This window comes from Homo sapiens, chromosome 1 (genome assembly GCF_000001405.40).
Source record: "Homo sapiens chromosome 1, GRCh38.p14 Primary Assembly".
NCBI classification, from domain to species: domain Eukaryota; kingdom Metazoa; phylum Chordata; class Mammalia; order Primates; family Hominidae; genus Homo; species Homo sapiens.
Genome location: NC_000001.11, coordinates 116,862,000 through 116,887,571, shown reverse-complemented (window position 1 = coordinate 116,887,571; position 25,572 = coordinate 116,862,000). Strand labels below are relative to the sequence as shown.

At 44.6% G+C, this 25,572-nt stretch overlaps 1 long non-coding RNA gene across 2 annotated transcripts, besides 7 other annotated features; it reads right to left on the bottom strand.

The window, feature by feature from the left end:
- Nucleotides 1-1,773: 1,773 nt before the first annotated feature.
- LOC105378927 (uncharacterized) lies at nucleotides 1,774-7,554 on the bottom strand. 2 transcript variants are annotated; one of them, XR_001737804.2, is made up of 3 exons: nucleotides 7,496-7,554; nucleotides 4,905-5,021; nucleotides 1,774-2,299 (listed from the first exon to the last, which is right to left on the bottom strand). It is a non-coding gene; the product is annotated as an uncharacterized LOC105378927 (long non-coding RNA). The 2 variants fall into 2 exon arrangements; XR_947742.2 differs by lacking the exon at nucleotides 7,496-7,554 and adding an exon at nucleotides 5,111-5,188.
- Nucleotides 7,685-8,884: an enhancer, noted in NCBI's record as "MED14-independent group 3 enhancer chr1:117421310-117422509 (GRCh37/hg19 assembly coordinates)". NCBI's record gives its function as "activates an origin of replication core promoter dependent on BRD2, BRD4, P300/CBP and CDK7 cofactors, and independent of MED14, by STARR-seq in HCT116 cells {active_cell/tissue: HCT116}" and the evidence as "EXISTENCE:reporter gene assay evidence [ECO:0000049][PMID:35650434]".
- Nucleotides 7,685-8,911: a biological region, named in NCBI's record as "MED14-independent group 3 enhancer GRCh37_chr1:117421310-117422509".
- Nucleotides 7,848-8,379: an enhancer, noted in NCBI's record as "H3K27ac-H3K4me1 hESC enhancer chr1:117421815-117422346 (GRCh37/hg19 assembly coordinates)". NCBI's record gives its function as "activates a minimal SCP1, AML or CMV promoter by ChIP-STARR-seq in primed H9 embryonic stem cells {active_cell/tissue: H9 hESC(primed)}" and the evidence as "EXISTENCE:reporter gene assay evidence [ECO:0000049][PMID:30033119]".
- Nucleotides 7,900-7,979: an enhancer, noted in NCBI's record as "active region_1577". NCBI's record gives its function as "activates an Ori minimal core promoter by ATAC-STARR-seq in GM12878 lymphoblastoid cells {active_cell/tissue: GM12878}" and the evidence as "EXISTENCE:reporter gene assay evidence [ECO:0000049][PMID:35858748]".
- Nucleotides 8,030-8,319: an enhancer, noted in NCBI's record as "active region_1576". NCBI's record gives its function as "activates an Ori minimal core promoter by ATAC-STARR-seq in GM12878 lymphoblastoid cells {active_cell/tissue: GM12878}" and the evidence as "EXISTENCE:reporter gene assay evidence [ECO:0000049][PMID:35858748]".
- Nucleotides 8,380-8,911: an enhancer, noted in NCBI's record as "NANOG-H3K27ac-H3K4me1 hESC enhancer chr1:117421283-117421814 (GRCh37/hg19 assembly coordinates)". NCBI's record gives its function as "activates a minimal SCP1, AML or CMV promoter by ChIP-STARR-seq in primed H9 embryonic stem cells {active_cell/tissue: H9 hESC(primed)}" and the evidence as "EXISTENCE:reporter gene assay evidence [ECO:0000049][PMID:30033119]".
- Nucleotides 16,251-16,545: an enhancer, noted in NCBI's record as "tiled region #12934; K562 Activating DNase matched - State 8:EnhW". NCBI's record gives its function as "activates a minimal TATA promoter and a strong SV40 promoter by Sharpr-MPRA in K562 cells {active_cell/tissue: K562}" and the evidence as "EXISTENCE:reporter gene assay evidence [ECO:0000049][PMID:27701403]".

The following is a 25,572-nucleotide window of genomic DNA, read 5'->3' as shown; positions in this document are numbered from 1 at the left end:
AGCTTTTACTCATGGCAGAAGGAAGCTTGTGTGACTTGTGGCCAAAGCAGGAGCAAGAGAGAGAGTTGAGGGGAGGTGCCACACACTCTCTAACAGCCAGATCTCATGTGAACTGAGTGAGAGCTCATTTATCACCAACGGGATGGCCGAAACCATTCATGAGAAATCCACCCCCATGACCCACACACTTCCCACCAGGCCCCACCTCCAACATTGGGGATTACATTTCAACATGGGATTTGGGTGGGGACAAATATCCAAATTACATCATGAGAGTATTGAGTTTCATGTGATATAAAGTATTTGAAAGCGTTTTGTTAACTATAAGTGAAAGTAAGGTGTTATTATTTTAGCCTGAAGAAATGTCAACTCCCAAGGTCAGAGCTAGGCGAAAGGGGCTGTAGACAAAGATGAGAGTGACAACTAGGAAGCTCCTATTAGAGACTTTACATTTGTTCCAAGAGAGCTAATAAACAATGTGGCAACAGGTGATTTGCACAGCAGCATGAGTGAACGGTGCCCCGCTGGAGCTGTGAAACATGGCAGCTCAGGTTCTTTGGACCCCAAGTTTCTTCATATTGTACTAAAACTTGATTGTGTGTTTGAATCACCTATACTAGAACACACTGTGTGGGACTATCAGTGGGGGTATCTGTTGTGGAGAAAGAATCTAAGGAAGGCTTAGAAATGATGGGCATAGTCTGCGAGTAGATACATCCACCTCCATATTACCCTGAGTGGTGGCAGAAAAAAATTTAACCTAAGCTCTCCCAGACCATCATGTCATATCCTGTCTAGAAGGAGGCTTTCCCAGGCAGGGAGGAAACCCACTCAGCATTCTGAAGTTTATTGCCATGATGTCATAGTCTTGGGATTTTCAATAATAGACAAGCAACTCACCAAGAAACACAGGTTATGGCATGCAGTGCTCCAACAGGTTCTGGCAATGCAAACCAATGTGGAGCCTTGGGTATCAGAAAGGCCTCTGTGGGAAATTAAAATGGCCTTGGTTATGTTAGAAACTGCTGTTAGCCTCACCCTGGTGGATCCTATCACAATGGAAATTTGGAATGTTTTCCCAGCCTAAATGTGGTGTGCTTTCCTTGGAAAGGAATACTACAGAATGCTGTGCTGATCACATTTAGACAAAAAGCATTGCAGATATTTCCTTGTTCCATACAGAAAGCCTTAGCAGTTAAATCTGAAAATGCAGTCTTGGCAGGCACTGCTGGGGTTCCTGGAAAGCCATTCAGTGCAGACACCTGGGACCAGATCCTAGGAGTAGCAGCGAGGTATTCCCTTATTCTGCTGGCCAGTGACAGCTGCTTTGTGGTTCATCCCCCAGGGTCCTAAATGGTTCAGTTTTAATCAAACAATCCTCAGTCATCAAAGTTCCTTTAAGCCCTACATTTCTGAGTCTGTCATCAAATATTCATTGAGCAACTAAGTAATCAAGGCACAATCCTTGGTACTGTAGAATGGATATGGTTCCTTCTTCCCATCCCCCTGTCATCCCCAGAGCTTATCTATTTGAAAGGTCAGTGAAAAAGCTAGGTAACTATATTCTCATTTATTTACCATCTTCTGTTAACACATTGCAAGCACATTATTTTTCCAGTTAACTGAAGCTTATTCCATTGAAGTGCCAAGATTTTATTTGAATCTGTTTTGATGGAAATATTTTCAAAATGTACTAAACAGCTGTTTTCTTCCAGTGATTGTACAGAACATTGTTACCTTGAATATTCTAGGGTTACTATTTATTTGCAACAATTTATTCAAAAAGTATTTATTGAGTGACTGTTATTGGTTGGGTACTCCTAACTACTAGGAAAACAGTGGTGAAGATTATATAAATCCTGCCCTCCAGGAGCTTCCAGGTAATGAAGGAGACAGAGAAATTAGCAGGCAATTGTCCTATGGCAAACCACTGCCATGATAGGGTAAACAGAGAGGAACATTTTCTATAAAACCTCCAGGTCAGAAAATGACTCCAAAGGGGTGCCCTGCAGGATGAGGACTGGAGTACCAGTAAAAATTAGTTGAAATGAGAATGAGGAAGTTGAAGGGAATACTCTGGAAAGAGGGAATTGTAAAAGCAGACATCGGCAGGCAACATGGAGCTTGAGGGAAAATGCAGAGAAGACTAGGGCAGGGTGCAGGGTTGTGGGTGTCCTGTGGCGGTTTGTGCAGGGCAGTTGGTGCAGACACGGCTTGGGGAAGGTGACATTAACAGAGCATGGACATGAAGAGCCTTCTGTGCCATTGGATAAAAATTGGATCTTCATCTTCTTTCCACCTGTGTACAGTGCAATTTAATTAATCAATGAACAAATATTAATTGGCCACCTACCAAATGCCACATGATAATAATTGCTAACATTGAGGGCTTACTATATGCTAGGCATTATACTATGCACTTGCATGGATTAATTTATGTAATCCTTGTGAAGTAGGGATTAATCTTATCCCTATTCTATGAAAGAGGAAATTGAGGCTCCAAGAACTTAGGCAGCTTGCCCACAGTCACACAGCTCATCTGGGGCATATTGTGCTATGTGGCACAGGTGATGAGTATGTGAGTGAGATCCTTGTAGAAGTACATGGCATTTTTATGGCCTAGCCTCAGAAATCACAAACCATAATTTCTACCATACTCTATTGGTCAAAGAAATCACAAAGATCCGCCCAAGTTTACAAGGAGAGGTCATTTGACCTCACCACTCCACAGGAGAAGTGTCAATGTCACATTGTCAGAAGAGCTTGAGGGATGGGAGATACTGTGGCTGCCATCTTTGGAAAATGCAATCTGCCTTAGGATACCTTAAGAAAAGTCCCTGGATTGAGGGCTTGATCCACTGCCTGCCTGGCACCACTGTGCCATGTACAAACTACAGAAACATGCAGCACCCTTGCTACCAGCAGTTTGGCTTTGGGAAATCCCTGGCTGAGTAAATTATAGAGATAGAGGGTGTTTTCTGGATCTCCATACTGTACTTCCTGGAATCATTTTTCCTTTGTATTGCCAAGGTCTTAGCACCAACACTGGTGTGGCAGGGTACACAGTTAGTATTAATTCCAATGATGTTGATGTCTTTAGTCTACCAAGCAGTGGGGATAGCTGCCAGTGGGGGTGGCAGTAGTTGTAATGTTTGTTCATGAAAGTTGAAAACATCTGGCTGGGCACAGTGTCTCATGCCTGTAATCCTAGCACTTTGGGAGGCCGAGATGGGCAGATCACCTGAGGTTGGGAGTTTGACACCAGCCTGGCCAACATGGTGAAACCCCATTTCTACTAAAAATACAAAAATTAGCCAGGCGTGGTGGCACGTGCCTGTAATCCCAGCCACTGGGGAGGCTGAGGCAGGAGAATCACTTGAACCTGGGAGGCAGAGGTTGCAGTGAGCTGAGGTTGCGCCATTGTACTCCAGCCTTGGTGACAAGAGTGAAACTCCATCTCAAAAAAAAAAAAAGAAAGAAAGTTGAATACATCTGAGCCACCACTTCTCTCTGGCAGACAGCAGTAGGTTGTTTCACTGAGAATTATGAACAAGATAGTTATCCCTGGAGAGCTTATCTAGGAAGGGGTATCCTGGACAGGGCTGAAATTTCTGCTAGTAAAATGATTGTAGGCTCAATGTATCCAAGAGACTTCATTAGCTCTCCTCATTTGCTGGTATTCCAGCAGCCAAGATACAGAGAGAGGAAGTTTAAAAAAAAAAAAAACAGGAATTACTGGATGACCAGATCCATTTTATTACAGTGGGTAGTATAGGGATGAAATAGCAGGAGGGGAGGTTGAATAAGCAAGTTGCAGAGGGCCCAGAACATCAAGCTAAGGAGTTTCTTTTTGTTTTGTTTTTTGAGACAGGGTCTCACTCTGTCACCCACGCTGGAGTGCAGTGGCACAGTCATGGTTCACTGCAGCCTTGACTTCCCAGGCTTGAGTGATCCTCCTGCTTTAGCCTCCTGAGTAGCTGAGACCACAGGTGTGTGCCACAATATCCGGCTAATTTTTAAATTTTTTATAGAGACTGGGTCCCACTGTGTATAGAGACTGGGTCCCACTGTGTTGTCCAGGCTAGTCTTGAACTCCTGGCCTCAAACAATACTCCCACTTCAGCCCTGCAGAGTGCTGGAATTATGGATGTGAGCCACTGCGCCCAGTCAGGAGTTTCTTGCTTAGTGACTTCCAAGCTTTTTTTTTTTTTTTTTTTTTTTTGAGATGGAGTCCTTCTGTTACCCAAGCTGGAGTGCAGTGGTGTGATCTTGGCTCACTGCAACCTCCGCCTCCTTGGTTCAAGTGATTCTCATGCCTCAGCCTCCCGAGTAGCTGGGATTACAGGCTCATGCCACCATAGCCGACTAATTTTTGTATTTTTAGTAGAGATGAGATTTTGCCATGTTGGCCGGCTGGTCTCAAAGTCCTGACTTCAGGTATCCACCTGCCTCTGCCTCCCAGAGTGCTAGGATTACAGGAAGGAGGAACCACGCCTGGCCTTCTTCCAAGCATTTTTGATCATGTGACCCATTAGTATGAATTTTTTTTTAGCATTTTTCTGTCAAAATGAATACTTATCACTGCTGTACTAATATATGATGTACATCCTAAAACCTATTCAAGAATAGAAATTTAGCCAGATGAAGACAAATAATTATTAAATATAATTCTTTTTTTGGTACCCCAATAGATTTGTGTGCACACACCTGTGTTGGCAGCCACTGACTCAGACAACAGAAAAGGAGAGCCATGCTCTCAGAATAGGTGTGCTTAAGGTGGCATAGAAGGAACTGTAAGCCGGTAGAGTTTCAATGGAGTTCTTGATAGCTCTAGATCTGGGCAAGCACTGGCTCTCTCTGTGGTTTTATTACCAAGAGAATCTATTATTCAAGTGTGAACTCACCTGGATCCCTCCTCATTTTTCACATCTTTCTCCTTTCCCAGCTGTTCAGGGTTGGAATACTCATTGCATTGCTCCATATACTGAACAAATTGCACCGAGATCCGTAGACCTGCAACACTTCAAATAAAGGAAAATCATGTCTCATTCTGTCAAAGCTTTTTCTTGATCCAGCCTGAAAAGATATCCAGTTTGTCTTCTTCTTTTACCATGTGCTACAGCTTCTCTCTCATCACCAAAATCTTGATAGCTCCCTTTCTCTGGCGGCTTGTGTTGGAAACTCATGAATCACCCGATGGGCCAATACTGCTGCTCTGCGTAGGAGAATGTCTGAGAATATTGTGTAATATGCATTCAGCAGTGTGAATACGCACAGCTGTTGAACGTTAATTCTCTCGGCAAGCTTAAAAACACAAGTGCCAGTGCGTATTGAAGTTACAGTTCTGGCTGTTTGGTCCTTTTGTTTGTCCACAGTTGGTTGGAGAACATGGGCTTCCACTTTCCACCTGGTCCTGTGAAGGCTATCAGCCTATGCCCTTCTACTACTGCTACCTTAGTGGATGTGGCCCATTTCTTCACCTGCCAAGGTCAAGGACCTAGGTTCAACTAGTTATTCTAAGCCTAACAGGGGCAGGGAGTTGATAAGGACAGCAATGACTAAGCCAGAGCTTTGCTGCGACATTAGGGCAAGGCCAGCAGGGTGAGCAAGTGAGATGCTCAGGGCACAAAATGTAAGGAGGCCCTCATTCTCAGGGTCACACAAGTGCAGGGCCGGCACTTGCAAGTGATGCCTCCTTCAATTTTGCCCACTAGGCACCTCACTTGTCTCTCCCTAGTCCTGGCTTTCTTAAACCCCTTTGCCTGTCTGGATTGACTTAGCAACCAGGATTGAGCTTTCGGGATACGGGGAGAATGATAATTATTACCAGGGTTTAAGCTGAATCTCATCTTGTCTAAGCATACCCTAGATAGGGAGGTTTTCTCATTATTTCGGAAGGGCTGAGTCCAGATGGAGTTGGGAATACAGTCAGTGGTGATTCAGAGTTTTAGAAGTCTCGGCCAGGTGCGGTGGCTCACGCCTGTAACACCAGGACTCTGGGATGCCGAGGTGGGTGGATCACCTGAGGTCAGGAGTTCGAGATAAGCCTGACCAACATAATGCAACCCCATCTCTACTAAAAATACAAAAATTAGCTGGGTGTGGTGACAGGCGCCTGTAATCCCAGCTACTTGGGAGGCTGAGGCAGGAGAATCACTTGAACCCAGGAGGCAGAGGTTGCAGTGAGCCAAGATCGCACCATTGCTCTCCAGCCTAGGCAACAAGAACGGAACTCCGTTTCAAAAAAAAAAAAAAAAAAAAAAAGCAGTCTCTATCTGAGGCTAATGAAATATCGAGGTTAGGGGAAGATAAATAATTCCCGTCTCTTGCATATTCACACATGTCACCACAGCCCTTGGCAAGTGGACAGTAGCGGTCCCTCTGGTTACTGAGAACATTTGAATCATATGCCTGGGTCCTGTTGGTTTACGGAGCCCAAGCCTTTTGAGCTCTGACCAGTGGGCCATCTGTTACCAAGTTAAAAATGTTGACTCTGCAAGTCTGCTGCTCAGCCTCCTTGGCCTGTGTCTGTTACATACACCATTCTAGCACCTTGGCAGCAATACTCTGAGCGCAATTCCATTCACCATTTCATTCCTTCCAAGTCCTTCAGCAATGAATAGTACAGAATGAAATTCTTCCAGCTCATACACTTTTAACCTTTGCATAAACCTTAAGGATAAGCTAAAGGTTATCAAAATAGCTTCAATTGCACAGGTTAAACATCTCTCCTGCGTCTGGACGGTCAAGGCATTTGATAAAAGGAAAAAATGAGAGCAAAGAGTTTGTTTATTTTTCAAATTTTTAAGTGGAAACAATCTAAATGTTCAAAATAGGGAAGTAGCTAAGTCAATTATGGTACATCAACTTGAAGGAATGCTACCCAGCAATTAAAATGTCAGAAAATAACCTTATGAAAATACACTTATAATACAATGTTATAACATCAGGAAATAATCATAATACAGAATTATATTTCACTATATGGAACATGTGAGTGCAAGGATCAAAAAAGCATGCATATATAAAATCAGTTGCTTTGGGGTGGTAAGTTTAGTAGTGACTTCTTTTTCTCATTTGAACATGCTTTTAATGATGTTATTTACATAATGGTTATATAATGAATTTTTGATGTTTAAAGAATTCCTAAGCAATTTGGAAAAAATCAGATAATCTGATGAAGACTGGAGATTTGTTGTTGTCCAGTGACTGAGTAGATCCCAGTCTGAGAGGCCAGCACATGGGCTCTGAGTTCAAACTGTCTGATTTGAGACCATAACTTTGCCACTTTCTAGCTGTATTTTTACTTTTTATTTATTTATTTTTAAATTTTTATAGAGATGAGGTCTTACTATGTTGCCCAGGCTGGTCCCAAACTCCTGGGCTCAAGAAATCCACTTGTCTTGGCCTCCCAAAGTGCTGAGATTACAGGCGTCAGCCATCGCACCCTGGCCACTGCCACTTTCTAGCTATATAACCTTGAGAATATTCTTACCTCCTCTGTCAAATGGAGACAAGAATGACATCTGTTTCACAGGCTCTTGCAAGTCTAAGTGAGTTGGTAAATGCTTAGAAGAATTTCTGGCCCAGAGTGAGGACTTAGTAAATATTGGTTCTCATGATTATACTGTGGATAAGCCATGTGCCCTAAGCCACATCAACCTGGGCAAAAAAAAAAAAAACTAAAGTCAGAGGAATTTCTCTGGTTTGACAGTGACCCATGCTTGTGGGTCTTCCCTGACTTTTTCCAGAACGCTTCAGGGTATCTGGCAAGCAAGGGTGCCGGCTGCCTCAGTTGGCTGCAAGAAGGGAAGGCTCGCTTAAGGCCCACTGTCCAGGTGGAGAGGCTGGTTATCCCTTCCAAGGACATGGAGGTGCCTGCTGCTGAAGCGGCAGGGCTGGCAGTCAAGGTGGCGGCTACTGCAGATGCCACAGCTGGTGCTGTCTCCTGCTGGTGCCCACAGTCACACGCTGGCTGCCCTGTGCCAATCGACTCTCGACCCTGCCACCCTGTTGTGGGTAAAAAAGCACATCTTTGACTTTCCTTGTGCTTGCAGCCCGCCACACTCAGTCCACCAGGACAGAAGACACAAGTCTGAGTGACAGGCTCCGATTTACTCTTCATGCTCTTCCTTCTTCTTGTCGCTGAAACATCACACAGTTGGAGCCCGTGTAAAACTAACTCTCCCCTCTCTCCCAGGAGGGCCCACAGGCTTCCTGCCACCGCTTCCTCCTTGTCAGAGGGACAAGTCCAGACCTGTCCGAATGCTCATGCTCATGTGAAGGCAATTCTGCTCCAGCTGAGACCCCTGCAGCACAATGCCGGACTGACAGCCAACCTGGAGAAAATGTTTGGATGCAGGAATGAGGAACAGATGCCCAGATAGCTAAGGGCAGGGATGGCCAAAAAGGAGGGAGAGGGAGGCGCCTGAGCTGCTGCTGACTGGACACTAAAGGTGGGGGAAGGAGGAGGGAGGGCAGGCAGCTGCTGGAAAGGGGGAAGGGAGGTCCCTGGCAGATGCTAAAAAAACCCTGAAGCTCATTTGCCCAAATCAGCTTCAACCTCCCCAGAGTGTCTTCCTCACCACTCCATGTCCCCCTATTCTTCTCTGGCTTCTAATCTATACAGAAAAGGATTTTTGAGGTTGGGGGGTGGGGTTGTTCACCAGTGTGATTGACTCATACGCCTCACCCCAGAGGCAGACCTATTATCTCAAATAATGCTTGCTTTCTCCCTCACCTGAGCGGGATTAGAAATGGGGACAACGTTCATTAGTAAAGGGGGGAGTGTCTGAGGAAAACTGGATGTTGTGGAAAGGGAAGATGCAAAGTAAAAAGCCCTGGTGGAAATAAAGTGCTCAACCGGTCCTGTATCCATTAAAGTAATAACATCGTTGCATGGCAGGTTTATCACTCCCTTCCAGCTCCTCAGCGTGGGAGCTGTGGCTCTTTTTAAAAATGAGAACAGAGTCGCGTGCTGCTGCTCCAGTGTGGAAGGGCAGGTCTCCCTGTCCCTCCCCCAGCGCTCCTCTCTTTACCCTGCCCCCAAGTCGTGGACTTCTCCCAGCCTCTGGAACCAGCGCTAAAATTCATTTCACTCTTTAATTAGATTTCATGGAGTAAGGGATTGAGAGGGGTGCTGGGAAAGGCGTTCATATGCCCTCTTTCCGTGGAGAGGGGTAATGCTGTTGATAGGGGAGGTGGGACAATGGTTGCCATGGAGACATATTCCCAGACATACAGACACACACTCATTTTAATGTCTTTCTTTTTTTTCTTTTTCCAGCAGGGGAAGGATCCGGTGCCCTATTTTTAGTGTCAGATTTCAGCAAAACAATTCACTTTCATCACACACACACACACACACACACACACACACACACACACACACTCTGCTGGGTTTTAAAGTAGGTCACATTTCCTAACTGTATCAAGAGCTCAGATCTGTCTTGCTTGAGTAGTGCAAGCTTCCGCGGAAGATTTTACTGATTGAGACGAAGATCTCAGACTTGCCTTGGTACAGTTTTCTTTCATTTTGGTTTGACAGGCATTAGAATAGGCAGAATGAATAGCTGTAGGTAAATTTACATTTTAAAGACTAAGGCAAAATGTCTGGGCAGTGATAATAGGAAGGGGAGGTACAGAAATTAAAATGACAAACTCATCTGTTATTTCATTATCAGATTATCACTGATTATTTTTTTTAAAAATATTCCTTGAGTGCCCATACTGCAGAGCCTTTTAGGGAAGACATAAGTCCTGATTGGTAGCTGTTCAGTTTAAATTTTTGATTCTTGTTCCAGATAAACTGGGTATGTCAGAACATGTGAATCCAGAATTTGGGGTTTTACTTCTGCTCTATCCCAAGCTGCAATTTTTGAGTGTTTCTGTCTGCATTTCTTGCTTTGTGATCTTTGCCAAATCTCACAGTCCTTCTGTGACTAGAATACCCTATTGACTGGAATCAGTACTAGATGTTCTCCTAGCAGAACTAGCCCACGGCGAGACTGTAAATTGGTCAAGTGTCTTCAGCAGCCCCAGACTCACACACACCCCCAGATCTTCCCAGCCCTTCCTATTCCTATGGGGTTTCATTCCTCTTTCCAAGATGGCAGCAAATCTAGCCTAATTTAGGAAGGGCTATTATTTCTTCACTTGAAGCTCTCTATTATTAACTGGAGGCTTTTGGTTTTAATGGGGAGGTTATTTTTACACTGGTAGGGATTTCTGGCTTCCCTTTCACAACACAAAGTGGGGAACTCCCTGTGTATAGAACCAAAGGGAACTCCACAGTCCATAGCTTTAAAAACAATAGCCTAATAAAAAAAGAAAGGCTGGAATGAAGCCCTCAAGATATAACATTGACAATGTCTTCCAGGTAGTGGATGTTCAGTAGGTTTTTATTTCCTCCTTCATAACCTTTTGTATTTTTCAAAATTAGTTGAGCATACATTGCCTTCTTAATCTGAAAAGAAAGTAATAAAAATAAAAACAAGAACTGAAGCCTTATATTGAATGAATGTTTGTGTTAATTACTATACTAGGAGTCTTTTGTGTATAATCCTTATAACCACACTCAGAGATAGGTATTATGATCCCTATTTAACAGATGAGGAACCTAATAAGGAAAGAATTGCCCAGGTCATACATACAACTAGCAAGAATGAGGATCCAAACACAGATCTGTCCAAATTCATACCCACGTTCCGATATCATAACTGTGAGCTCCTCAAATAAGTATAGCTACCATTTATTCAACACTTAGTAAATGCCAAACTTATATATCTATTTGATATATATTATATCAAATCAAATCTACACATTGGGTAGGTTTGTTTTAATATCTGCATTCAAAGGTTCAGAAAGATTAAGTAATTTGCCCAAAGTCACATAGGCAGTAAGTAATAGGAATGGCAATATTTGAATCCAGGTTTGTGCAAAGCTCATAATAGCCCCACAGCGTTATGGGTTCAGATTGGGCAATTAAGAGAGCCTTAAATGGGCATTCTCTAATACAGATGCCCTATTGTCACATACACTAAATTCTATTGGCTGAAAATTCTGAGTTTTGACTAAGCAGCAGAATTTACTTTCTTATTGCAGATCTATACCTCTTAATAGGAAAATGTCTAAGATAAGACATTTAGTCAGACTATTCACTAACATGAGTCCTTTGCTTACGAAGACATAGACTCATGTAGTCTGGGTCCCTGAATCTCTGGAGCACCTATCCTGGACAGTTGCATGCGTGGTGGCTCATGCCTATAATCCCAGCACTTTAGGAGGCTGAGGCAGGTGGATCACCTGAGGTCAGGAGTTCAAGACTAGCCTGACCAACATGGCGAAACCCCATCTCTACTAAAAATACAAAAAATTAGCCAAGCGTGGTGGTGCATGCCTGTAATCCCAGCTTCTTGGCAGGCTGAGGCAGGAGAATCGCTTGAGCCTGGTAGGCGGAGGTTGCAGTGAGCCAAGATTGTGCCACTGCACTCCAGCCTGAGCGACAGAGCAAGACTCTGTCTCAGAAAAAAAAAAAAAAAAAAAAAAAGAAGGAGAAATGTATTTTTTGTATTAGAGTGATTAAATTCTTAGGTCAACTACTGGTAGCCATTTAACCTACCCTAACTAAACCATAAATTTGTACTGCAATAGCAGTGCTGGGAAGGGAAAAGCATGGTCCCTTTAAATGATATAGAATGGGGGAAGGGAAGTGCTGGGTAGAGGAGGGCGTGGTCCCTGGCTAGAGCTCTACCCACACAGACCTAGGTGAGACAGGCATTTTTGTTTTTCTTCCCAAATGTTGCATTTCCTAAGACCACCCTGGCCTGCCACACCCCCATCCTGTGCCTATAAAAACCCCGGAGACCCTAGCAGGCAGACACACAGGCAGCTGGACGGCGAGAGGAGCCTATCAGCGGAGGAATACACAGGTGGCTGGAGGTGGAGAGGGACACACCGACAGGCACCGGCACGCCAGCAGGCCACCAACCGGCAGAACGTCATGGAGTTGGGCTTGGGGCAGTTAGAGGAGAGCCTGGTCCGTCGTCAAGCAACTCGACTCCAGGGGAAAACCATTTCCCTTCTGGCTCACCCATCTGCTGAAAGCTACTTCCACTCAATAAAAAAACCTTGCACCCATTCTCCAAGCCCGCCAGTACACCAAGGCAAGAACCTCGGGATACAGAAAGCCTTCTGTCCTTGCAACAAGGTAGAGGGTCTAATTGAGCTGGTTAACACAAGCTGCCTATAGACGGCCAAACTAAAAGAGCACCCTGTAACACGCGCCCACTGGGGCTTCAGGAGCTGTAAACATCCACCCCTAGACACTGCAGTGGGGTCGGAGCCCCACAGCTTGCCTCTCTGTATGCTCCCCTAGAGGTTTAACAGCCGCTCACTGAAGAAGCGAGCCACATCCCCATCGCGCGCCCTGCAAGGGGGGCAAGGGAACTTTTCTCATTTCAGTACCAAGAGTGGGGCTGAGGGCTGGTGGTTATTGTTGCAAAATCCTCAATTCCATGAGCAGCAGAAGTGTAGAAAACTACAGCTAAATCTGTCCAATTGTTAAGATATTAGGGAAGTGGTACAGGCTATGCTCTCTGCCTTTGGCCTGCCATCTAAATTGACTAACCTAGGCTGGGCAACATAGCAAGACTGTTACAAAATTTTTTTTTAATTAGCCAGATGTAGTGGTGTGTGTCTGTAGTCCCAGCTACCCAGGAAGCTGAAGTGGGAGGATTGCTTGAGCCCAAGAGTTCAAGGTTATAGTAAACTATGACTGTACCACTGCATTCCAGCCTGGCTGACACAGTGAGAAACTGTCTCAGAAAATAAGAGGTCAGGAGTTCAAGACCAGCCTGGCCAACATAGTGAAACCCCATCTCTACTAAAAATACAACAATTAGCCAGGCATGGTGGCGCATGCCTGTAGTCCTAGCTACTTGGGAGGCTGAGGCAGGAGAATGGCTTGATCCTGGGAGGTGGAGGTTGCAGTGAGCTGAGATCGTGCCATTGCACTCCAGCCTGGGCGACAGAGACAGACCCCATCTCAAAAAAAAAAATTAATAATAAAAATAAAATGCTATTAAAAACTGTCTGCTAGACAATGGGTGACAACTTAGCTGTTACTATCCAATTAAAGCTGTTGCTTTCCTTCCAAAACTCAACTAGCTGCCATTAAACTGGGGCAAAGGGTGGGCAGAGGACAAAGGTCTGAAAGATCTGAGTCTTTCAGTTTAAAAACCATTTTTAGACAAGATATTTGGCTATTGTTACTCGCACATGGAACTGATGGAAGGCAAATGGAAAAGATGCCTACTTAGTTTTTGAGGGAATTGTACTGCCAAGCATCCAAGCCTAATCTGCCAAAGCCTGTGACTATTCAATGCCTAAAGCAACCTTTGTGCCTCCAACTATGTATTAACAAGAAACAGGCTATGAAAGCTGTGCAGCAGTCCTCCCACCCCAAAGGGCAAACTCATCACTTCCTGCCTCAGACATAACCATGGGGAATAATGGACACAGAAGCACCTCCCACAGGACGGACGGCTGACTCCTGATGTTTAAGAAGAGAGTCCCCTCTGTTCTTGCTCAGCAGGATTTGATAATTACTATAGATCGACTTCTGGGACTTTCACATTTTCTGACTGGTAGTTTTAATTGTGGTTTTCTTGTTCTTACTACATCACTGCATATGTAGTGGGTTATGGGAAAGATAACTAATCTTTTAGTTTATGGTTTGTGCTATGGTTTGAATATGGCTCCTCCAAAATTCATGTTGAAACTTAATCCCCAATGTCATCATAGTAAGGGGTCGGGGGGTAGTCTTCAGCAGGTGACGACATCACGAATGAAATTAGTACCCTTATAAGAGGGCCTGAAGGGAGTCTGGCCCTTTTTTGCCCTCCCACCATGTGACAATTCAGCAATAGGTGCCATCTTCGAGGCAGAGAGCCCTCACCAGACACTAAATTTGCTGGTGCCTTAATCTTCGACTTCCTAACCTCCAGAATTGTAAGAAATAAATTTATATTATTTATAAAGTACACAGTCTAAGGTATTTTGTTATTGCAACCTGAACAGACTAAAACAGCTTGCAAGATTGTGAACATCATATCTGGATTTGAAGACGGAGACTACACTTCACTCAGAGATCTTGACTTTGATCTGGAGGCAGTCCCTGGGTTTCTTCCCCTTGAGGAGGGATTGTGTCCTACATGGGGATGCCCATATATTTGGGGAGGCCAAAGGGATAAACTGTAGCAGAGAGACTGTTTAATTGTCTCACAACATTTGTTTTCTTCTATTTTAAAGTATTAGGACCTTAAATGTTTAGCTAGGCACCTGCTGCTAGAAGGACTGCTTCCCAGTCTTCTTGATTCTCTCCCGGTCATGGGATTAACGTTTGGTTAGTTAGATGTAAGTAGAAGTAGTGTGAGCAACTTCTGGAAAGTGTTCTTAAAGGCAGGGAGCTTTTCCTGCTCTCTACCTTTTTCTTCTTTCTCCTGGATGGAATGGGATATGCGGGATGGAGCTCAAGCATTCATTTTGGACGATAGGATGATTTAGGAAGTGGAGATTATGCAGTTAAGGCAGAAAAATAAAAATAAAAAAAATCTGATTCCCTGCACTGTGGAGCCCTTTACCATCTGTGGACTACCTATTCAGGCTTATATGAAAGAGAAATAAACTTTCATGTTGTTTAAGCCACTGGTTTTTTTTTTTGTTATTGTTTTTTAAGGGAGGTGAAGGTGTTGGGGAGTAGGGAGAGTTCAATATCCTGCTGCCAAACCTAATCCTAACTAATTCATGACAAGTTACTTTTTTGAGTTACTCCAGTTTCCCTGAAATGGGCAGATCTGGGGGCCAAAGACCAAAGTGGTTTAGAGAGACCACAAATTGAAGTAAACATGATGCCATCTTATTCTGTGACATGTCAGTTAGAGGAGAATTCCAAGCTTAGGGAATTTGCATTCTGTCATACCACAATTTATATCATCATCAGTATCTCTAGGAAAAAGGGTTACCTATCTCTCTTTGTACTGAGACACTGGAACTTTAGAAACCCAAATTCATTTATTCCTATGGGTTTTAGCCAAGGAACTTGCCTGCAAAGCTTCCTGATTAGACAACCGTCTGCCAGGTTGGTTTGGGAAAAAGTGCTCAACTGGCACAGAATATCTATGGCTCTGGAAAATGACTAAACTATTCCAAACGGTTTTAAAAGCAAATCCATTTTTAATATCTCAACAACTGTTTCAATTTTGTTCTACCTAGTTTGGTATAAATCTATTTTTAATTTCTAGCTCCTTACAGCCTCAATTGACTTCAGTTTTTATGTGGAAATTTTTATATCTTATTTCTTCCAAATTCTACTTTATTAATTTGATGCAGTTGTAGTCTGCCTCTGATTCCACGTAATTACTTAATCATTTCACTATAATATTGACTCAAAGATTTTGTTATTGGTTACCTAAATATTACTAGTTCCCTTCCATTTCCTCTCTTGCACAATGACAGCGCTTGTTTATAAACCTGCTTTGAAATCACCAAGGGTGAGGAGCAACATCAAGATAAAGTACTGTGTTGTTCTTTCCTTGGAAATATGCCTTGGCTTAAATTTGAACTTGGGGTATAAATTGTAGAAGATTCTGCCAAGAGCGCTCCAGTTCTGATATGTGGCGTTAGTTGAATTTCTGCTTCCAAGCAGGTTATTATGCAACTTGAGGGAGATGGGAAAGAAGGGTCAGGCAGGAAAGGATGGATTTTATTCCCGGGCTATAATACTGTCATCATATTCAGAAATCCACATCTCCTTTTCTCCTTCCTTTTCTGCTGTCTCCTTTCCTTCCTCATTTTCTTTTTTGTAAATTTTCCAGTTACTTCCCTCCCACCATCTCCCCTCCCTTTCTGCCTTCCTTCATCCCACAAGTATTCACTGAATACCCTGGTAGTTAATCTTTAAAGATGGTGCCTCGCCAGGCGCCATGGCTCACGCCTGTAATCCCAGCACTTTGGGAGGCTGAGGTGGGTGGATCATGAGGTCAGGGGTTTGAGACCAGACTGGCCAACGTAGTGAAACCCCATCTCTACTAAAAATACAAAAAATTAGCCGGATGTCGTGGCGAGTGCCTGTAATCCCAGCTACTCGGGAGGCTGAGGCAGGAGACTCGCTTGAACCTGGGAGGTGGAAGTTGCAGTGAACCGAGATCATGCCACTGCACTCCAGCCTGGTGATGGAAAGAGACTCTGTCTCAGAAAAAAAAAAAGAAAAAGAAAAAAGTTGGTGCCCCCAGTGAACTTGGAGGGGTCACATGTAGGCACTCCAGACAGTGGGCGGAGCTGAACTCCTGGCCAGTAGCCAGCATCCTGTGTCAGCCAAGTCTATCAGATGACTCCCGTCCCAGCTGCCATTTGACTCCAACCACATGAGAGATTCCCAAGGAAGAACCACCCAGTTGAGCCCAGTCAGCCTATGAGATTGTGAGATTCTAATAAACTGTTGTTTCAAGTCCCTGTATTTTAGGATGGCTTATGATGCAGCAATAGATCATTGAAATGAGCATTTACTATGAACCAGGCACTGTTCTAGAACCTGGAGAGTAAACAAAACAAAAATCTGTGCCCTCATATACCCATATGCTAATGAGAGATAGTCAATAAAAAAGATAAATATACAAAGGGTAATAAAAGCCAAGAAGAAAAAAAACAAAGAAAGGGAATATGAAGCATGGAGATGGTGGAGATGTTTTGGTTAGGTAGCCAGGAAAGGACTCACTCAGAAGATGACTTTTGAGTACAGAACTAAGAGAAGTGGGGAATCAGGCATATGGTTATCTGGGGGAAGAGTGTCTTGGGGGAGCAAATAGTAACTGCAAAGTTCCTGGTGTGGGCATCTGTCTGGTATATAGTCAAGGAACAGCACAGAGGCCAGCGTAGATAGGGCAGAATGAACAAGGGGGAGGTAGTTGGCAATGAGGTTGAAGAGGCAAGGGGTGCAGATCAGTAGGGTCCCGCAGGACAGAGGAAGGACTTTGGCCTTCATTCCCGATGAGAGCCTCTGGAAGACTTTGAGCTGAGGAGTGATGTCATTTGGCTCATGATTTAACAAGATCACTCTGGTTGTTCTGTTGAAACAAGAGAAAGCCAGGGCAGAAACAGGCCCATTAGCAGCGTTTGTGATCATGCAGGAGAGAGACGATGGTGACTGCGATCGGGGGGTGGCAGGGGTAAATGGTGAGGGAAAGGGTACATTCTAGGTTTATTTTGAAAGTATGATTGATAAATGTCTGGGCGCAGTGGCTCACACCTGTAATCCCAGCACTTTGGGAAGCCAAGGCAGGCAGATCACTTGAGCTCAGGAGTTTGAGATCAGCCTGGCCAACATAGCGAAACTCCGTCTCTATTAAAAATACAAAAATTAACCAGGCATGGTGGTGCATGCCAGTAGTCCCAGCTACACAGGAGGCTTGATAAGAGAATTGCTTGAACCCAGGAGGCAGAGGTTGCATTGAGCTGAGGTTGAGCCACTACACTCCAGATTGGTGAACAGAGAGAGACTCTGTCAAAAAAAAAAAAAAAAAAAAAAAAAAAAAGAGAGAGAAAGTGTAGTTGATAATAGATTAAATTTGGGTTGTGAGAGAAAGAAGTAAAAAATAAAGATCTGAGAAACTAGAAAATGAAGATCACATTAACTGAGTCGGAGAATGCAGCAGAAGGGGCAGTCTGAGGCAGAATAGCCGGGGTTTGTTCTTCATTGTCTAATCTGTGCCATTCCTTCTCTTTCCTTCTTTCTTTCCTTTCTTCTTCTCCTCCTCCCCCTCCTCCTCCTCCTCCTTCTCCTCCTCCTCTTCCTCCTTCCTCCTCCTCCTCTTCTCCTTCCTTTTCATCTCCTTCTTTTTCTTTTTCTTTTTTTTAAGATGGAGTCTCACTCTGTCGCCCAGGCTGAAGTGCAGTGGCGAGATTTCGGCTCACTGCAACCTCTGCCCCCCGGGTTCAAGTGATTCTCTTGCCTCAGCCTCCCAAGTATTTTTGTATTTTTAGAAGAGACGGGGTTTCACCATATTGGCCAGGCTGCTCTTGAACTCCTGACCTTGTGATCCACCTGCCTTGGCCTCCGAAAGTGCTGAAATTACAGGCATGAGCCACCGTGCCCAGCCTTTTCATCTTGTTCTGTTTCATTGAACTGGGATGCCTCTCTACCCAGTTTGAGATGCATATAATGTACCCAGTCATTTCCCAGAGCACATTATTCAAGACCCCCCCATGTTAGTAATTGCAGGAAGTCCAAAAGGGAAAGCTAGCCTTTCCCCCTCCAAATCCATAGCTACTATTTTAGGTCCAGGGAAACTTGAGTGCAAAGTGTCCAGTCCTGTTTGGTCTTACCTTAGTGTACTCACTGGGCAGAGAGATACTTGGCCAACATGGGTCATGTTCCAAACAAGGCAGTTGGGTAGTCTCCTCCTCTTGTAACAGCCACTGAGATTTGGGATAACATGCCTCGCCTTGGCAGCAGCATCATTCTAAGAACTGATCCATTCCCCAGAGTTATGCTAGTGACCTACTCACAACCCAATCTCTAGGACTGCTCAGGAGAAGGACACTTTGGTTCCCTCATTCCGTTGCTTTCTCAAGCAGAGTTAGGCATCTCATGGACACATAACAGCAGAGATCTGGGCTGAGGAGCAATATAGCCACAAGATGATTTAGAACCTTGGTAGAAGAAAAGGTAGGTTAGAAAATTCAAAGTGGTTGAGCCTTTCTGGTGGAAGGTAAGAATTTCAGGAAGTTGAAACAATTCAGAATCATCAAGTCCGGAAATAGAAGGAATACCTGAGCCCCATGCTCCACCTGCCTTATGGTGGGTCTTTGAGGAAAGGTGCTCTTCATATGCTCAGTTGTGAGGACCTTATACTGTAGTTGGTCTTAGCCAGTAAATACCGAATAGTGAGTAAGTCTTAAGGATTGCAATCAGGAGTGTGCTGCTAAATGTTTAACCACTGGCTTCCCTGGGGGATGCAGGGAGGAAACCCTGACTGATAGAGCTGGCCAATTTTCTTGGTGTAAATACACCCATCATGACTGATTTCAAGTTACTAATGTGACATCACTCAATGTGAAGTTGGAAATGCATAGTAGCTCATCATTTTGTATAAAATTTTTATCAGTTGCAATAGATATTGTCACACACGTCCATGTGAAGAGACCACAGAACAAGTTTTGTGTGAGCAACAAGGCTGTTTATTCCACCTGGGTGCAGGTGGGCTGACTCTGAAAAGAGAGTCAGCGAAGGGAGATAGGGGTGGGGCCATTTTACAGGATTTGGGTAGGTAATGGAAAATTACAGTCAAAGGGGGTTGTTTTCTGGCGGGCGGGGCAGGGGTCACAAGGTGCTCAGTGAGGGAGCTTCTGAGCCAGGAGAAGGAATTTCACAAGGTAATGCCATCAGTTAAGGCAGGAACAGGCCATCTGGATGTATAAGTGCAAGTCACAGGGGATATGGTAGCTTAGCTTGGGTTCAGAGGCCTGACATTCTTGTCTTCTTATATTAATAAGAAAAACAAAACAAAATAGTGGTGAAGCATCGGGGTGGTGAAAATTTTTGGAGGTGGTATGGATAGATAATGGGCGATGTTTCTCAGGGCTGCTTCGAGCAGGATTAGGGGCAGCATGGGAACCTACAGTGGGAGAGATTAAACTGAAGGAAGATTTTGTTGTAAGGGGTGATGTTGTGGGGTTGTTAGAAGGGGCATTTGTTGTATAGAATTATAGGTGATGGCCTGGATGCAGTTTTGTATGAATTGAGAAACTAAATGAAAGATGCAAGGTCCGAACAAGAGAAGGAGAAAAACAGGTATTAAAGGACTAAGAACTGCGAGGACCCAGGACATCCAATTAGAGGGTGCCCAAGGGGGTTCAGCGTAATTATTTGCTTGGTTTGGGAATTTTTGGACTCTATCCTTGGCAGAGTCCTCCTTTTTAAGTTGAAGGCTGAGCTTGGTGAGGTGTGTTTTTAAAAGACCATTAGTCTGTTCTACATTTCCTGAAGATTGAGGATGGTAAGGATTATGAAGATTCCACTGAATACCAAGAGCCTGAGAAACTGCTTGGGTGATTTGACTAATAAAGTCCGGTCTGTTATTGGACTGTATAGAGGTAGGAAGGCCAAACCCAGGAATTATGTCTGACAGAAGGGAAGAAATGACTGTGGTGGCCTTCTCAGACCCTGTGGGAAAGGCCTCTACCCATCCAGTGAAAGGGTCTACCCAGTCCAAGAGGTATTTTAGTTTCCTGGCTCGGGTCATGTGAGTAAAGTCAATTTGCCAGTCCTGGGCAGGGGCAAATCCCCAAGCTTGACGTGTAGGGAAGGGAGGGGGCCTGAAGAATCCCTGAGGAGTAGTAGAATAGCAGATGGAACACTGAGAAGTGATTTCCTTGAGGATAGATTTCCATGATGGAAAGGAAATGAGAGGTTCTAAGAGGTGGGCTAGCAGCTTGTAACCTACAAGGAAGAGGTTATGAAAGGACGACAGAATAGAATGGGCCTGTGAGGCTGGAAGGAGATATTTTCCTTGGTCCAAGAACCATTTGCCTTGTGTGGGAAGAGATTGATAGGTGGAAGTTTCAGTGGGGGAGTAGGTGGAAATGACCGATGAGAAGGAGAAATACTGCCATGAGGGATATAAGTTGGAATGCTAGCTGCTTTTTTAGCTACTTTATCAGCATAAGCACTGCCCTGAGAGATGGGATCTGATGCCTTTTAATGGCTCTTGCAATGAATGACTAGTTTTTTTTGGAAGTAAAGCGACCTTGAGAAGAGTTTTTATTAAAGAGGCATTAATGATGGAGGACCCTTGTGTGGTGAGGAAACCTCTTTTTGCCCATATAACAGCATGGTGGTGCAGGATATGGAAGGCATATTTAGAGTCAGTATAAATACTGACACATAGTTCCTTTGCAAGAGTGAGGGCTCAAGTTAAGGCAATGAGTTCGGCTTGCTGAGAGGTAGTGGAGGGTGGCAGAGTGCTAGCCTCAATGATAGATGTGGAAGATACTGTAGCATAGCCTGCCTTTGCTGGTGTGTGGCAATTAGGCCTGGTGGAACTGCCATCAATAAACCAAGTGTGATCAGGGTGAGGAACAGGAAAGAAGGAAATATGGGGAAATGGAGTGAATGCCAGGTGTATCAGAGAGATACAGTCATGGGGGTCAGGTGTGGTATCAGGAATAATGTGGGAGGCTGGATTGAAGTCCGGGCCAGGAACAATGGTAACTGTGGGAGACTCAACAAAGAGTGAGTACAGCTGAAGGAGCCAGGGAGCAGAAAGTATATGTGTCAGGTGTGAGGAAGAAAATAGATTTGGGAAGTTATGAGAACTATAGAGAGTGAGTTGAGCATAGTTCGTGATTTTTGAGGGCCTCTAAAAGTATTAGGGTGGCAGTGTCCACTGCACAGAGACATGACGGCCAGCCTAAAACAGTAAGGTCAAGTTGTTTGGACAAAAAGACTACAGGGTGCAGTCCTGGTCCTTGTGTAAGAATTCCAACTGCACAGCCCTGCACTTCGGCTGTGTGTAATGAAAAGGGTTGGGATGAGTCAGGGAGAGCTAGTGTGGGAGCAGTCTCTAAAGCTGTCTTCAAGGAATGGAAACAGGAGTGGGGAAAGGATTTAGGATCTATGAGGTCAGCTAGGTTTTCTTTTGTGAGTTTATATAATGGTTTTGTTAGGATGGCAAAACCAGGTATCCAAAGGTGAAAGTATCCAACCCTGCCCAGGAAGGAAAGGAGTTGTTTTGTAGAAGAGGTCGAGGTTTGAGAGATCAGTTGGACACGATTGACAGGGAGAGCACGTGTGTTTTTATGAAGAATTATGCCAAGGTAGGTAATGGATGGAGAAGAAATTTGAGCTTTGGAGGGGGATACCCAATATCCTTTGGAGAATAAATGTTGAAGGAGCAGGAGGGTGTCTTGTTGAGAAGATTCAAAGGAGGGGCTACAAAGTAGAAGGTTACCAATATATTGAATAAGGTGAGAAGCAGAGGGGTGGAAAGAAAGTAAATCATGAGAAAGAACTTGGCTGAAGCAATGGGGGCTGTCCTTGAAGCCTTGTGGCAGTACAGCCCAGGTAAGCTGCTGGGACTGATGGGTGTCAGGGTCAGTCCAAGTGAAAGCGAAGAGAGGCTGGGATGAAGGATGCAAAGAAATAGTAAAGAAAGCATGTTTGAGATCAAGAACTGAATAATGGGTTATTATGAAGGGGTTGTGGAGGGAGGTATTGAGGATAGGAGAGTATATGGGTTTGGCACCACGGGGTGGATAGGCAAGACAATTTGGTTGATAAGATGCAGATCCTGAACTAACCTGTAAGGCTTGTCTGGTTTTTGGACAGGTAAAATGGGGGAATTGTAAGGAGAGTTTTATAGGCTTTAAAAGGCCATGCTGTAACAGGCGAGTGATAACGGGCTTTAATCCTTTTAAAGCGTGCTGTGGGATGGGATATTGGTGTTGAGCGGGGTGAGGGTGATTAGCTTTTAATAGGATAGTAATGGGATTGTGATCGCTTGCCAGGGAGGGAATAGAGGTGTCCTATACTTGTGGGTTAAAGTAGGGGGATACAAGAGGAAGATGCGAAGGAGGCTGGGGAAAAGGGTGGCAATGGGGTGTGGCTGTAGCCTAGGAATAGTCAGGGAAGCAGATAACTTAGTTAAAATGCCTCGACCTAATAAGGGAACTGGGCAAGTGGATATGACTAAAAAGGAGTGCATAAAAGAACATTGCCCAAGTTGGCATCAGAGTTGGGGAATTTTAAGAGGTTTAGAAGCCTGGCCATCAATACCCACAACAGTTATGGAGGCAAGGGAAACAGGCCCTTGAAAAGAAGGTAATGTGGAGTGGGTAACCTCCATATTGATTAAGAAGGGGATGGACTTACTCTCCACTGTAAGAGTTACTCAAAGCGTCTGTGATGGTCCTTTAGGCTTTTGAGGTGATTGGGCTGTGTCAGTCTTCAGCCACTAAGCTGAGAAGATCCGGGAAGGAATCAGTCAGAGAGCCTTGGGCCAGAGTTCCAGGGGCTCTGGGAGTGGCTGCTGGGCTGGACAGTCCGATTTCCTGTGGGGTCCTACACAGATGGGACATGGCTTGGGAGGAACCCTGGGCTTCTGGCACTTGAAGCAAGATCCTGGGGTAGGCGGTCCTGGAGGAATGCCTGGCCACTGCGGTTCGGGTGTTTGGAAGTTAATTGTGTGCTGGAGATGTGGCTGGGGTTTGTCTCACAGTGGAGGCAAGGAATTGCAACTTAGAAATACGTTGCTGCTTGGCTGACTCTACTCTATTAATGTACACCTTGAAGGCAAGGTTAATTAAGTCCTGTTGTGGGGTTTGAGGGCCGGAATCTAATTTTTGGAGCTTTTTTTAGTGTTGGGAGTGGGTTGGGTAATAAAATGCATGTTGCGAATAAGACGGCCTTCCTCTGCGGTCTAGGACAGTAAAGCATCTAAGGGTTGTTGCCAAATGGGACATGAACTGGGCTGGGTTTTTATATTTGATGAAAAAGAGCCTAAATGCTAACTGATTTGGGATAGGTCAGATAAAGAAAAAGGAGCATTAACCTTGACTATGCCTTTAGCTCCAGCCACCTCTTTAAGAGGAAATTGTTGGGCATGTGGGGGAGGGCTAGTCACGGAATGAAACTCTAAGCCAGACTGGGTGTGAGGAGCAGAGGTGATAGAAAGATTATAGGGTGGGGGAGCAGAGGCTGAGGAAGAATTGGGACCTGGCTCGGCCTGGCAAGGAGCAGCCAGGGGAGAAGGGGAGAGGTCAGATGAGTCTGTAGAAAAGAAGGATTCAAAGGACTCAGAGCTTGGGGTGGAGACTGAAGGAACAGACAGGAGAGAAAGAAGAAAGATTTGGGACGAGTCCCATTGGGAGCAGAGACTAGGGAGGAAACAATGTGTAAAAGAATGCCTGGACGTCAGGCACCTCAGACCATTTGACCATTTTTCAACAAAAATTATCTAGATCTTGTAGGATAGACAAATCAAAAGTGCCATTCTCTGGCCACTTGGAACTACTGTCGAGTTTGTATTGGGGCCAAGCAGTATTGCAGGAGAAAATAAGGCGTTTAAGTTTTAGGTCAGGTGTGAGTTGAAGAGGTTTTAAGTTCTTGAGAACACAGGCTAAGGGAGAAGAAGTGGGAATGGAGGGAGGAAGTTTGCCCACAGTGAAGGAGGTAAGTTTAAAGAGAAAGGTAGAGACACAGAGAAGGGGGTGGGTGAGCAGCCCTGGGCTGCAATATGGGTGAGCAGCCAAGGCAGGCATCCCCACCAAGGGAATGTGGGTGAATGACCAAGGCAGGCAACCCCGTGGTGAGCAGACACCAATGGAGTGTGGGTGAATAATCAGGCAGGCATCCCCACAGTGATTAAACACCAAGGGAAGACTGTCTTCCCGAGTCCATGACTGGTGCCAGAGTTTTGGGTCCACGGATAAACTGTGTTTCCTTTGTCTCTACTAGGGAGGAAAGAGAACTGGAATTGGAAGGACAGGGAGATTGAAGGGTAGCGAGAGAGGGAGATTGAAGGGTAGCAGGGGAAGCTGGAAAAGAGAGTGAAAAAACCGCCTACCTGATCTGAAATTGGTGAGATGTTCCTTGGGCTGGTTGGTCTGAGGACCTGAGGTCATAGGTGGATCTCTTCATGGAGTGAGGGTGACAGGGGACTGGTCTCCCGAAGGAGTCCCTCTGACCCGGGTCTTTGACACCAAATGTCATGCATGTTCATGTGAAGAGACCACCAAACAGGCTTTGTGTGAGCAACAAGGCTGTTTCTTTCACTTGGGTGCAGGCGGGCTGAGTCCGAAAAGAGAGTCAGCAAAGGGTGGTGGGATTATCATTAGTTCTTATAGGTTTTGGGATAGGCGGTGAAGTTAGGAGCAATGTTTTGTGGGCAGGGGGTGGATCTCACAAAATACATTCTCAAGGGTGGGGAGAATTACAAAGAACCTTCTTAAGGGTGGGGGAGAATTACAAAGAACCTTCTTAAGGGTGGGGGAGATTACAAAGTACACTGATCAGTTAGGGTGGGGCAGAAACAAATCACAATGGTGGAATGTCATCAGTTAAGGCTATTTTCACTTCTTTTGTGGATCTTCAGTTGCTTCAGGCCATCTAGATGTATACGTGCAGGTCACAGGGGATATGATGGCTTAGCTTGGGCTCAGAGGCCTGACAGATATAAATAACCTCAAAAGCATAGATAATAGGAAAATATGGTAAAATAATTACTGGTAAGTTTTGAATAATTATTAAATTTGTTTTAAATATAATGATTTTATTGAATGTTGATATAATTTAATATTTATTATATTATTTACATGTATCAGAATATCCCATGTATGATGTGCTTATTTCACATTGCATGCCCGTATCAAAACATCTCATGTATCCCCATAAATATATACCTAACGTGGACCCACAAAACATTAAAAATTAAAAAATTTTAGGCCAGGCACGGTGGCTCACGCCTGTAATCCCAGCACTTTGGGAGGCTGAGGCGGGCGGATCACGGGGTCAGGAGA